Source organism: Homo sapiens, chromosome 17 (assembly GCF_000001405.40).
Source record: "Homo sapiens chromosome 17, GRCh38.p14 Primary Assembly".
Classification (NCBI taxonomy): Eukaryota; Metazoa; Chordata; class Mammalia; order Primates; family Hominidae; genus Homo; species Homo sapiens.
This window is the reverse complement of record NC_000017.11, coordinates 29,704,403-29,718,427: the sequence shown is the minus strand read 5'-3', so window position 1 is coordinate 29,718,427 and position 14,025 is coordinate 29,704,403. Positions and strand designations below refer to the sequence as shown.

At 41.6% G+C, this 14,025-nt stretch overlaps 1 protein-coding gene and 1 pseudogene across 15 annotated transcripts in view, besides 2 other annotated features; both read left to right on the top strand.

The window, feature by feature from the left end:
• Window positions 1-14,025, top strand: part of SSH2 (slingshot protein phosphatase 2) — a 304,291-nt gene that overhangs the window by 211,801 nt on the left and 78,465 nt on the right. For 2 of the 15 annotated variants that reach the window (XM_047436969.1, XM_006722149.5), the window contains exon 1: window positions 7,389-7,441. The exons of 12 other annotated variants lie outside the window; for them this stretch is intronic. Coding sequence is in view for 2 of the 3 variants with exons in the window: in XM_006722149.5 (XP_006722212.1) it covers window positions 7,401-7,441 (41 nt within the window). In the remaining variant the exon portion in view is untranslated. Of the gene's footprint in view, window positions 1-7,388; window positions 7,442-11,556; window positions 12,484-14,025 lie in introns of those variants that run through there. One more of the 15 variants, XM_011525404.3, reaches the window with a different exon arrangement.
• On the top strand, window positions 1,703-2,148 carry RPL21P123 (ribosomal protein L21 pseudogene 123; annotated as a pseudogene).
• Window positions 4,680-5,309: an enhancer, noted in NCBI's record as "H3K4me1 hESC enhancer chr17:28040137-28040766 (GRCh37/hg19 assembly coordinates)". NCBI's record gives its function as "activates a minimal SCP1, AML or CMV promoter by ChIP-STARR-seq in naive H9 embryonic stem cells {active_cell/tissue: H9 hESC(naive)}" and the evidence as "EXISTENCE:reporter gene assay evidence [ECO:0000049][PMID:30033119]".
• Window positions 11,570-11,759: an enhancer, noted in NCBI's record as "active region_11984". NCBI's record gives its function as "activates an Ori minimal core promoter by ATAC-STARR-seq in GM12878 lymphoblastoid cells {active_cell/tissue: GM12878}" and the evidence as "EXISTENCE:reporter gene assay evidence [ECO:0000049][PMID:35858748]".

Genomic DNA, 14,025 nt, shown 5'->3' with positions numbered 1-14,025 from the left:
GGCTTTTAAGTTTTAGGATAATTTGCTATGCATCAATAGATAACTAATAAGGAGTCATCAACATACAGGATGGTGATAGCCATAAGTGTGGCTAAAGACATTCAGAAGAGTGTATATAGAACAAGGAGAGGAGTGGTGACGAAATCGTGGAAGACATCCTATTTAAGAAGTTGACAAAAGAATAGGAGCCCACAAATGAGAATGTGAAGGAATAGTCAGAAACATAGAAGGAATAATAAGAAAGTTTCAAGAAGGTGGATGGTTGTTAACCATATCAAATGGTCAGGCATTTGATAAGGACTGAGAAAATGTTCATTGGATTTTACAGGCAAAAGAAAATCCCAATTACAATGTGTTGGAAAGTGAATTACAAATGAGAAAGTAGAAACACTGAAACCCTACACCACTTGCCCTTCTCTACCTCTTTGGTCTCATTTTCTACCACTCATTGTTGGCTAACTACATTTCAGTGCCCCTGACCTCCTTGCTAATTCCCAAGCTAGCCAGTTATTCTTCTGCCTCAGGGCCTTTTATATCTGCTGCTCCCACTACCTTTTTTTCAGATAGCACAAGCTATGTTGCCCAGGCTGGTTTTAAACTCCTGGGCTCAAGTGATCCTTCCACCTCATCCTCCAGAGTAGCTGGGATTACAGGTGCACACCACCATGCCTAGCTCCCCCCACTGCCTTTAATGTTCTTTTTCCAAACAGCTGCATGGCTGCCTCCCCTAATTCCTACAGATCTCTGTTTAAATGTCAGCTTAGTGAAGAGATTTTCCCTGCCATAGCTTATAACACAAGTAAGTATACACAGCAGCACTCCCTGTTACTCTTTCTCTGCTTCATTTTTCTCCATAGCACTTAACACCATCTCATGTCTAAAATGGCAGCCACTGCTCATCTCTGGCCAGTTGTTGCTAGATGGACATGTGTGTTCAAATTTTATGATTTTTCAAAAGAAGCTGGATTTTTAAGTACAATTAATTGTCAATGGGCTGAGCGCAGTGGCTCACACCTATAATCTCCTCACCTTGGGAGGCCAAAGTGGGAGGATTGCTTGAGTCCAGAAGTTCTAGACCAGCTTGGGCAACATAGTGAGACCTCATCTCTATAGAATATTAAAAAATTAGCCATGCATGGTAGCATACACCTGGAGTCCCAGCTATTCAAGATGCTGAAGTGGCAGGATTGCTTGAGCCTGTGAGGTTGAGGCTGCAGTGAGCCATGAACACACCACTGCCCTACAGCCTGGGTGAACAGAGTGAGACCCTGCTTCAAAAAAATTGTCAATAAATTTATGTTTCAAAGCACTTTGAAGGTCAAACAGACTCTCTGTTTTAAGGGCGGTGGATAGGGTAGGGTTACTGACAAAGGATATGGAACTGGAATGGTCAGAGAGTTACCAGAGGGACTTAATGTCTTAGAAACTGAGGGGAGCAGGGGCAGGGTAGTCAAAAAGGAGAAAGTGATTTGCCGGTACACATTAGGTATTAAATGAAGAACAGAAATTGATGCTAAGCTAAAGGGGTCTTTGTCTTTAGGATCTATCACTGGGGAAATCATTGGCAAACTTAGAGTGGGGGAGGAGTTTCAGAGGAGTGGTGAGACAGAAGCAAGATGCCAGTGGGTAGAAAAATTGACTGGCAAGGGAAGAAAATGGGGACAGCAAGTAGAGACTTCCTTCTTAATAAAGAGAACTTAGACTTTCAGCCGGAACTGCCATCTTCCAGTAATTCACCAAAAACAAACACAAAGGGAAAGAGGAGAGGCACCCGATATATGTTCTCTAGGTCTTTTAGAAAAGATGGAGTTGTTCCTTTGGCCATGCATATGCGAATCTATAAGAAAGGTGATAATGTAGACATCAAGGGAATGGGTACTGTTCAAAAAGGAATGCCCCACAAGTGTTACCATGGCAGAACTGAAGGAGTCTACAATGTTAACCAGCATGCTGCTGGCATTGTTGTACACAAGTTGAGGGCAAGATTCTTGCCAAGAGAATTAATGTGTGTATTGAGCACATTAAGCACTCTAATTAATGTGTGTATTGAGCACATAAAGCACTCTAAGAGCCAAGACAGCTTCCTGAAGCACGTGAAAGAAAATGATCAGAAAAAGAAGCCAAAGAGAAAGGTACCTGGGTTCAACTGTAATAAATAAATAAATAAGAACTTAGAACACAGGATCAAGTTAAGGTTTGGGGGCATGGAGGTTGTTTTCTTTTAAGGGTATGAGAGACCAGACTTAAGCATGTTTCCAGGCTGAGGAGAAGTAGTCACTGGAGAGAGAAAACTAGGAGATGAGGGAGTGGGACCAAGGACATAGGTCACATCATTCTCTCAGATTGGAGAAAGGAGATAAGTCTGCAGGTGAGAGAAAGTAATTGAGAGAAATCACACTAGCTAGCCTCCATTTTCTTGGTAGTATAGAAGGCCAAGTTAACTGTGGAAAGTTGAAGGAAACAGAAGTTGCAATGGGACTTTGGGAGAGTAGAGAGGGTTTGGAATAACAGTGGAAAGGAGTAGGAGAGGGAGCTGTCCAGAGGTGTTAAGTGCCCCGCTGAGTCAAGTCAGTGTCATTACTGTCATCTCTGATATCCTTGCACTGAGACCGTGAATGTGCTGTGGCATCCAGAGACATGGTTTCTTATCTCCTTAAGTGTTCAGCTGCTTTTCTTTCATTTATTCCACATATAATTACTATAATTGCTAAACATTTATTTAGTGTCAGGTAATGTGCTAAACAGAGAGTTACTGCTCAGACATGTAATAATAATAAATAACACATCAAATAACCATACCATTTTAAGCTGTAGTATTATGAAGGGAAATCTGGAGCAAAGAGAATAGACTGTAGGGAAACCAGTTAAGAAATAGGACATGGAGGCTAGGTGCAGTGGCTCACGCCTGTAATCGCAGCACTTTGGGAGGCTGAGGCAGGTGGATCACGAGGTCAGGAGATCGAGACCATCCTGGCTAACACAGTGAAACCCCATCTCTACTAAAAATACAAAAAATTAGCCGGGCGTGGTGGCGGGCACCTGTAGTCCTAACTATTCGGGAGGCTGAGGCAAGAGAATGGCATGAACCTGGAAGGCGGAGCTTGCAGTGAGCCAAGATCACGCCACTGCACTCCAGCCTGAGCAACAGAGCGAGACTCCATCTCAAAAAAAAAAAAGAAAGAAAGAAATAGGACATGGGACTAGGTTGGTTAGGAAAGAAAAAGCCAAAAGGAGGTTGATAGCTAGAAAAAACCGAGGAATCACCGGGCGCAGTGGCTCACGTCTGTAATCCCAGCACTTTGGGAGGCCGAGGCTGGTGGATCACCTGAGGTCAGGAGTTCAAGACCAGTCTGGGCAACATGGTGAAACCCCGTCTCTACTAAAAATACAAAAATTAGCTGGGCGCAGTGGTGCGTGCCTGTAATCCCAGCTACTCTGGAGGCTGAGGCAGGAGAATTGCTTGAGCCCAGGAGGCGGAGGTTGCAGTGAGCCGAGATTGCACCATTGCACTTCAGCCTGGGTGATAGGGCAAGACTCTGTCCCAAAAAACAAAAAAAGAAAAAAAGAAAGAAAAAATTCAGGAATCAGGGGTCTAGGAGTCTCCCTCAGCTTGAAGAGGGAGTGAGCACATGGGAATTACAAGGAGAGGGAGTTGTAATCAGAAAGTGAGTTTAATTTCTGAAATTAAGTCCATCAAGAACTCGTGACTTCCAGAGGGACCCTGTGAACTAGAAGTCTAAAAGGAGTAAAGGTCTTTGAAGACCAAGAGGATGAGAAAATTTTGAGACAAAGTTGTTGGATGTTCATCTGTATGAACACTGAAATGTCTTAAGATTATAGTAGGATTTGGGGAATTGGGGAAAGAAGATTGGACAAGATAAGGGGTTAAAAAAAGAGTGACAAGGATATCAGAAGGTAACAGCAACAAAGAACAGAAGATGACCTTAGCCTCAAAGACACATTGCCAAGGGTGAAAGAGAATGGTCTGAAAGCAGGGTTTGACACTTAGGCCAAATGCTTGAAAGCCTAATTTGCATTTCTTCTGCGGGTGTGTTTTTAAATACCTGGGAAGGTATTTGTTGAATCATGCAAATGAAATTATTTTTTAAATGCTGAACAGTTTTTCTGAGTTAATCTCCTTTCATTTTGTTTGTTTATTCCCACCTATTTTAAACTTGGTGCCATGTCTTGGTTACTAAGAGACATGTTGGTCATCATCATGTCTCTTAGTAACCAAGACATCCAGCATTTTAAATACTAAGAAAGAACTTTTCAGGTCATTTACTTTTGAGTCCAGACAGCTTTTAAATTTTTCCATTTTGAAAAAGTATTTACATCTAGAATTTAGGGCTGCAGGACCAAGAAGCTTTGTTGATTCAGTCTGTAAGGGAAATGGGTTCCTTTGAGCTGAGGCAGTTTCTCCTCTCTTTGGAGGAGGACCTTCTCAAAAACAAAACTCTCCACCACTGTCAGTTACCAGGAGGACCTGGGTCAGTTGTGTGTTGGGAAGTTACTTGAGACCAGTTCCTTTCCTGAGCACCTAGGTTTTTGTTTGGGGGTGAGGGAGGTGGTGGTTATTTTTGGATGGTGACTGGAGGCAAGACTGAGACTGAGCCTTGCTAAGGTGGCTGCACAGAGAGGAAGACAAGAAGACAGCAGTGGTGTCATGAGAAGGTCTGGTCTCTTGGATCTTAGCAAACTCAGAAGTGTTTTGTAGCAAGGCTGCTTGGTATAAGTCCAAGAATGGTGGCTACCTGGAGGAATGGGATAGGGTGTGTTCTTTTCAAAGGTATTCAGAAGTCAAAATTATTTTAGATCTGTGCTTGGTCTCACAAGACATGGTGAATTAGGCCCAACTACTTCCATTTAGAGCCCTGCCTTAGACTCCCTAAAGGCCCTGCAGCTCTGATCTTTCATGATTTGGTAGTAATTTAAAACTCAAACCAAAAGCTAAAAGCTAAAAAAAAAGAAAGAAAAAGAGAAACAGAACAAGCATCATACCAAGCTTTGCAGTGAAATCCTGCCTTTGTTCTCTTCAGATGGACTGACCAGTGGCGTTTTCTTTGGGGGGGTTTTGTTTGTTTGTTTGTTTTGAGACACTGTCTCGCTCTGTTGCCCAGGCTGGAGTGCAGTGGCGCGATCTCGGCTCACTGCAGCCTCCGCCTCCCAGGTTCAAGCAATTCTCCTGCCTCAGCCTCCCGAGTAGCTGGAATTACAGGCGCATGCCACCACACCTGGCTAATTTTTTATATTTTTAGTAGAGATGAGATTTCGCTGTTTTAGCCAGGATAGTCTCGAACTCCTGATGTCGTGATCCACCCGCCTCAGCCTCCCAAAGTGCTGGAATTACAGGCGTGAGCCACCATGCCCAGCCTCAACTGGCAGTGTTTTTAACTGCTAGTTGTTTAAGCTATTATTTAGCAATATGTCCTGTTGTAATAACATCGAACACAGAATAAAGGGTTAAAGTGCTGCCCAGAGTGTCAGATGACATGGGGGCTTAAGCCCAGCCCTACTGCTAACTAGCTATGTGATTTTAGGGTAAATCAGTAAATTCTCTGGGCTTCAGTTGATATATTAGATTCTCTGTTACAAGCTCATAAATGTTTTGTTTTGTTTTGTTTTTGAGACAGTCTTACTCTGTCACCCAGGCTGGAGTACAGTGACGTGATCTTGGCTCAGTGCAAATTCCACCTCCCGGATTCAAGCAATTCTCCTGCCTCAGCCTTCCGAGTAGCTGGGATTACAGGCACATGCCACCATGCCCGGCTAATTTTTGTATTTTTAGTAGAGATGGGGTTTCACCATGTTGGCCAGGCGGGTCTCGAACTCCTGACCTCAAGTGATCCACCCACCTTGGCCTTCCAAAGTACTGAGATTACAGGCGTGAGCCACCGCGCTCAGCCAGAAATGAATTTTAACTATCATAAGTAAAATATTTGTCAGAAAGTTGTCAGACATCCTAATGGGAGGCTAGAGGACCAAACTTAGAGAACAGACATATGAAAGGAAAATAAATCTCAAAATCATCACCCAAATCATCACCAAGCCAAAGGGAAAAGTCAAGCTGGGAAGTGCTTAGGGCAAAACTGCCCCCCATTCTATTCCTAAAAAGATAGCTACTAAGTTTTTTAAAAGCTACATACCTCCCTCACAAGGAATTTCCTTGTGGACAAAGGACAGACAGAACTCAAAGTCATCCCTCCTCTGCCCAGTGAAATAAATGCAAACCTGATTGCCTTCTTTGGAAAGGCTAATCAGAAACCCAAAAGAATGCAACCATTTGTCTTGTATCTGCCTATGACCTGGAAGTCCTCTCCCCACTTCGAGTTATCTCGCCTTTCTTGACGGAACCAGTGTACATTTTACATATATCGATTGATGTCTCATGTCTCCCTAAAATGTATAAAACCAAGCTGTGCCCCGACCACATTGGGAACATGTCGTCAGGACCTCCTCAGGCTGTGTCACAGGCATACATTCTTAACTTTGGCAAAATAAACTTCCTAAATTGACCGAGACCTGTCTCAGATATTTGGGGTTCAAAGGAAAGAGCTAAAGTCATTCAGGGAAGACCAGGGAGCAGGAGCAGAGTGTCCCATACCTCGACACTCCCCATGTATCTAAAGCAGTACGAATAATGGGGTATGGTCCCAGGGGAGAGTTTCCAGGGGAGATTCAGATTCCACGGGGAGAATTTCCAACTGCCAGATGTAAGCCACATTCCAGCTTCCTACAAAACCCCTTGCAGTTCCAGAGTTGGACGCCACTAGAACCACATTTGAATGGATTCCCCAAAAGGAGAGTAGGGTGATATTGAAAAAGATAAATCTATTGCTGAACAGCCAAAACCAACAAATGTCAAAGCAGATGTGCCCCATCTGTAAAAGCTAGAAGGTTAATTGTATGACCAATGGTAAAATTATTGATCCTAAATTATGTCTCTGTCAGACATTTCTAAGATGCACATGGTTAAAGCAAAAATGGAATTAGAAGATCGTATCAGTAAGTGAACATTCAAAATGAACAGAACAAGTAATTTTGGTTTTTTGTTTTGTTTTTGCCTTCCATTGATGATCTGTAGTGAAAAGACCAGGAAGTTTCGTCCAGATTGGAATTTGTCTCTCAATCTTGAACAAACAGATCCTTTTTCCCCCCTTCAGTTTTAGGAAAGGGGAAAAACAGATAGCTGCATCCTAGTATAGTTGTGCTGGGCATTGTGCAACAGAGTTTAAGTGGAAGATGAGCTGGAACTAAGTCTGATGGTTATCGTTAATGAGTAAGAACCAGAGTCCTAAGCTCTTCTCTGCTTCGGCCGGTAATTGGTTTACTCATGTGGCCCAGTCTCTGCTGGTCTGGTGATAAGGAGATAAATAATCCTGACTCTTGCATTCAGAGGCATGTGTCTGGGAAGTCAATGCCCTCAGGGAGAGGGTTCCAGGTATGGCTGGGCATTCTAGTATTCAATGTTTGGTCATGCTGCAGGGGTAGGGCGGGAATGTCTAATTACAGAGAACATTACAATATATGAGTTTGGATTTTCTCCTGTTGTATTCTAAATTCCTTTAGGATTACAGAATCACATTTTCTTCACTACCTAGAGGTGTACTTTTGACTTTTGAAGCCAGGTTGCATACATCAAGGAACAGTTACTTTTTCCTTCCAGTTTTAGGGGTTTGGCCAGATTTTTTCATTAGGCATTAGTATTGATAGTTGTGTAATTCCTTGAACTCTGGTCTGATATTTGAAACTTTTTATTATGAAATTCCCTGTCTGTGGTGTGGTCACACCAAGTGGGAACATGAATTCCTTTCCACCTAGTGGGGTTGACAGAAGCTGTCCTAGCACCTTGAATCTGAAAATTAAACAACGAAGCAGAGAAGGCTTATCAGGAGGAGAAAAATATTGGGAGAGTGGAATATATTTGAAAGTTTTTGCTAGATGAGTATTCTTCAAGACAAAAGTATGAGTTCAGATTATGTGTGGTACTTGAATTTAACATAAATACCAACCAACTCACTTTGTGCAATAATACTGCATGCAGTCGTTATTACACAATAATTTGCCTGCTAATTTTGGCTTCAAGCAGAAATATCAAACCAACTCCAGAGTTTGGCATTACAAACATAAACATGAAAATCTGCTTCCTTCATTTTAGTATAACATCTACTTTGTGCCACTTGATTTCTCATAGTAAATGAGCCATTTCTTCTTATATGTGTGCATGTAGAACAGTGGAATTTCTATCCAACTGACGTTCAGCAGTTAGGCCAGGTATGTTGTTGCTTTGTTTTGCTTCCTTGACCTTCCTGCTGGTCATGGATGATCACCCTGGCCACATTCCTCAAAGATTATTTCAACCTCAGAACAGTTAAATATTTTCTTCCCTTAGTTGACCTTTTCCTCCACACTTTGTCTAAGAAGAAACTACCAGTTAACAAATGTCATACTTTAGGAAGTGATTTTGATCAGAAAGGATTGTCACAGAGCACTTTCCCAAATATATTTAAAGCCGAGTGCTCTTTCCTCCATTTTTTGAGACTGAGATGCCACTGTCATTCCCAACAGATATTACAACTTGCTCTACTGTCCAGCCCAGCTGGATTCATCTCAGACATGTTCTTTATTCCCCTCAGTGTAGTCTTTCTGTTTATGGCCTTGTTGGGGAAGTGGTGGGGAAAATGAGAAGAGTTGGAATCCGAATGGATTTCAGTTCTTTTCTCTCACTCCTGTACTCTACATTTTTTTTTTGAAATGGAGTTTCGCTCTGTTTCCCAGGCTGGAGTGCAGTGGCGTGATCTCAGCTCACTGCAAACTCCACCTCCAGAGTTCAAGCAATTCTCTTGCCTCAGCCTCCCAAGTAGCTGGGATTATAAGCGTGTGCCACCACACCTGGCTAATTTTTGTATTTTTAGTAGAGACGGAGTTTTGCCATGATGGCCAGGCTGGTTTTGAACTCCTGGCCTCAAGTGATCCACCCTCCTTGGCCTCCCAAAGTGCTGGGATTACAGGCATGAGCCACCACACTCAGCCCCTGTACTCTACTTTTAAATTCTATTCTGTTGAAAAGGTGTGTAGGTAAGACATTGTATTTCGTCCGCCATAAACTATATCATAAAGCGAAAACAACATGGTAGAGCATGATTTGGAGCATAAGCTTTCAAGTCAAATCTTGGTTTGAATCCTTGCTCTGAGGCTTACTAGCTGTATAGATTTTAGGCAAGTAACTTATGATCTCTGAGCCCTCAGTCTCTTACATGTATATTGGGGGTAAAAATAGTACCTACTTCATAGAATTGTTAGGAAGGTTAAATAAAGTAATGTAAAATGCACCTAGCATACAGTAGATATCTAGTTGAGTTAGCTATTATTAGCTCTCTCTCTCTCTCTCTCTCTCTCTCTCTCTCTCTCTATATATATATATATATATATATTTCTTAACTAGGGATGACTTTCCCCTTATTGAGCAAGCAATCTATGGCAAAGAGAAGCATAGATGTTTTTAAGTTATAAAGACTCTGGAGAACTTCACTGTCAGGAGTGCTCTATTAGAAAGGTGATTCTGTCATTTTTGTATCAAGCAGCTAATTATTCTCTTTAGATCAAGAAAATAGTATTTTCTTTATCTCATTCATTCCTTACTGTGGGGCTTCTTAAGTCCTTCGGGGTTATATTTAACTTAGGTATCTGTAATCACATACAAATGACTTCATAGAGTTTACTGCAGTTCTGTTTCTGTGCCAGACTCTACAGAACTAGTCAATTCAGAAACATGAAAAAGTTTTCACCTGCCTTTCTAAAGAACCGGTTTTTTTGTTTGTTTTTTTTTTTTTTTTTTGAAGCAGAGTTCCCCTCTGTCGTCCAGGCTGGAGTGCAGTGGCACAATCTCGGCTCACTGCAACCTCCGCCTCCCAGGTTCCAGTGATTCTCTTGCCTCAGCCTCCCTAGCAGCTGGGATTACAGGCACCCGCCACCACGCCTGGCTAATTTTTTTGTATTTTTAGTCGAGATGGGGTTTCGCCATGTTGGCCAGGCTGATCTCGAACTCCTGACCTCAGGTGATCTGCCCGCCTTGGCCTCCCAAAGTGTTGGGATTACAGGTGTGAGCCACCACGCCTAGCAAGAACAGACTTTTTAATTAGACAATTGACAACTCCTTGTCAATTGAATTTTTAAGCAGCTGTTTCAGGAAGACATATTTACATAATAAATCTTTTACTATTCTGGCAAGATATACCAACCTTTTATCTTACACAAAAGTATATGTGATTAAATTTACATATAATTTTCTTCATATGCAAATAAAGCATTTAATTTTCAAGTGGAATTTTATCTACCTAAACTCTGGTGGTGGTTATAAATTTTGTTTTATCACTTCCATGCTATGAATTTTTTTCTGTTATGATAAGAGATTTTTGTAATCAGCCACACGCTTATTTCTGGTCCCCTTGTGACCAACAGAATGTCACTTTTTTGATAACTGAGGGGTCATAACCTGGGGCCATGGAATAAAGAGGATTGATTGTACCATCCAGATTATCTGCCACGAGTCTCTGGGAGCCTGTATCGCGCCTATTATAATAGTATTTAATAGTAGTCTCGGGTTGGGCATGGTGGCTTACACCTGTAATCCCAGCACTTTGGGAGGCCAAGGCGGGCGGATCACTTAAGATCAGGAGTTCCAGACCAGCCTGGGCAACATGGTGAAACCCCGTCTCCACTAAAAATACAAAAATTAGCCAGGTATGGTGACGTATGCCCATAGTCCCAGCTGTTCGCGAGGCTGAGGCACGAGAATCGTTTGAGCCCAGGAGGCAGAGGTTGCAGTGAGCCAAGATCTCACCATTGCACTCCAGCCTGGGCAAGAGAGCAAGACTCCATCTCAAAAAAAAAAAAAAATAGTAGTCTGTTGGCCTACCTTGTACAATTTGTTCCATCAGAAAAGTTTATTGACATTTGTGTTTCAAATAGGAAAGCCTCTTTTCTCTTATATGTGAATTTGTGATATTTATACTATATGTGAGTTTGACTCCTGGCCTTTCTTTTATAATCAGGAGTTTCTGGAGTCCAGGTGGCTTTGAACTAACCAACAGCCCTTGTCCAGCTCCTTAACCCTTACTTTGAGAAAGCCCTGCATTCATTTTAAATAACACATTTAGATATGCTTTAAAGCAAGAATGTACTTACATATACTTTAAAGCATAAGCAACAAATGTATCTATAAAAAAACAGTATTGCTGAACTCCAAAAACCAGGAAGTTCTTTTTTTTTTTTTGAGGCGGAGTGTCGCTCTGTCGCCCAGGCGGGAGTGCAGTGGCGCAATCTCGGCTCACTGCAAGCTCCGCCTCCCGGGTTCACGCCATTCTCCTGCCTCAGCCCCCGAGTAGCTGGGACTACAAGCGCCCGCCACCACGCCTGGCTAATTTTTTTGTATTTTTAGTAGAGACGGGGTTTCACCGTGTTAGCCAGGATGGTCTCGATCTCCTGACCTCGTGATCCGCCCGCCTAGGCCTCCCAAAGTGCTGGGATTACAAGCGTGAGCCACTGCGCCCGGCCAGGAAGTTCTTAAAATAGTGTTTGTCAAAGAGAAACTACCTATCTCACAAAAGGAGTGACTGAAGTATGTTCAGTTGTTTTAAACTCTTCAACAAATATACACACTTCTTTTGTAGATGTAGCGAACTGCTTTGTTTACTGGAACCCACAGTGTCCAAAGCTGTTACTTTGCCTGGTGAATAGGTAGAATATTTAGCCTTTATTTTTAAAATATTTTCATTTAGTAAAGCAGCAGTTGCTGTGTTGGCAAAAGTGTGAATTTCATTTCCTGTCTGTGGTGTGGCCCACTCATCCTGTCACTCAGACATTTTGTTTTAGGTTGTTCCCGTAATGTGAGTGGAACAGAGTGACCCACAGTAGGGTGGCATGTGAACACCACGGTTGTAACAAGAGAGAAGGCTTGTGCAACAGACCACAAGAGAGTAATGCTTTATTTAAAGATGAAAACAAAATAAAATCAAGGCACCACCACCCCCAGCCAGCATGCAGATTTTTAAAGTGACATCTGTGGATTCTTTTGTTTTTAGAAGGTGTGTTTCAGTCTATTTGGCAGGTTACCTCAAAGGTTTTATTAGCTTCATGGACTTTATTAAAGGATAAAATTGAATCAATGTCTGATAACATTATAGAGGTGATTTAACTTCATTTGCTAATCTATCATCAAACATCTTAAAGTCCATTAATCTGCCACATATATTGAGTTATATAATTTATTACTTTTACATGTGAGACTTGTCCTAAATTACAATTTCTGCTACAGTGACAGGACAGACATACAGTGTGGAAAAAACTGGGATAAATTCATTCATCCATCACCTATTGTTCAAGCAGCTAATACGTGCCTTAGACTATTTCCAGTGCTGCAGCTACAGTGATGCACAAAATTAAGTCCTTGCCCTCTTGGAGCTTATATTCTACTATAGGAAGGTAACCACAACAGGTATACACCTAAATAAATATAATTTTAGTTTATGATAAATATTCTGAAGGAAACAAAACAGAACAACAGGATAGAGTATGATTGGAATTGGGGGAAGGAGCAGTGATATGTAAGCTGAGACTTACATAATGATAGGCCACAAGAAAAGTATTCCAAGTAGGGAACAGAAAGCACAAAGTCCCTCAAACATCGAAGAAACAGAAAGAAGAATCATAGATCATGGTAAACAAAAGGGGAGATGATACAAGATCAGAGGAGTAGTCCTGTAGGATGTTACAGGTCCTTGAAGACCAAGCTAAAGACTGGTTTTTTTATTTACAAGTACAAAAGGAAGCATTTGGAGGGTTTTAAGCAGGGAAGTGACACTGTACAATCGATGTTTTTTAAGTCACTCTGGTTGCTATTTGGTGAGTAGATAGATAATCGAGGGCAGAAGTGGTTGCAGATAGACCTGTTAAGAAGTTTTTTTTTGATACAGCACCTGGGGTTTGTTTCACTTTAGGGGCAAGGTAAAATGGGTGAGGATGTAGAAGAAACAAAATTTGCCACAAATTAAAGCTCAAATGTGATGGGAACATGGGGGCTTACTTATCATAGTTATTCCCTCTACTTTTGTGTATGTTTGAAATTTTCTATAATAAAAGGCTTAAGAAAAACTTTTTAAATAGTGGTCCAAGTAAGGAATGCTGGTGCCATGGACCAGTGTGATAGTGGTGATAGGGATAAGTGGGCAGGTTCAAGATATATTTGAAAGTAAAGCTCACAGGACTTGCTAATGGATTAGATATATATTATAGGAAGGAAAGACACTAAGGATGACTATTAGGTGTTTTGCCTAAACAACTGGGAGAATGAGGCTGGAGAACGAGGCCAGAGATTGACTTGAGGGTGGGGGAACTCAAGAATTTAGTTTTGGCAACGTCAATTTAACATTGCCAGTTAAGATTTCCAAGTGGAAATACTGAGTAGACAATGTCATTTACAGTCTGCTAGCTAACCTTTAATAGCAGTACTGTACTCAAAAGCAATTTAGAATCCTCTATTAGGTATTTCTAAACTTGGCTATTTGTGAGTTAAGTTCTGTCCTTTCAGATTCTGTGAGAAACTTGATGGATAACTTGAAAGGCTTATTTAGTTTATTGATATGAAATAATTTAGATTTATTTTCTGGTTGTTTGTGGGTATCCACTAGTTTTTGTGTTTTGCTTTTTTTTTTTTTTTTTTTTTAAGAGACAGAGTCTTGCTCTGTCGCCCCAGCTGGAGTACAATGGCGCCATCATAACTCACTATAATCTCGAACTCCTAGGCTCAAGTGATCCTCCCACCTCACCCTCCTGAATAGCTAGGACTACAGGCATGTGATACCACCCCCAGCTATTTTTAAAATATTTTTTCAGAGATGGAGTCTCACTGTGTTGCCTAGCCTGGTCTCAAACTCCAAGACTCAAGCAATCCTCTTGGCTTGGCCTCCCAAAGCACTGGGATTACAGGCATGAACCACTGTGACCAGACCAGTAATTGTATTTTGA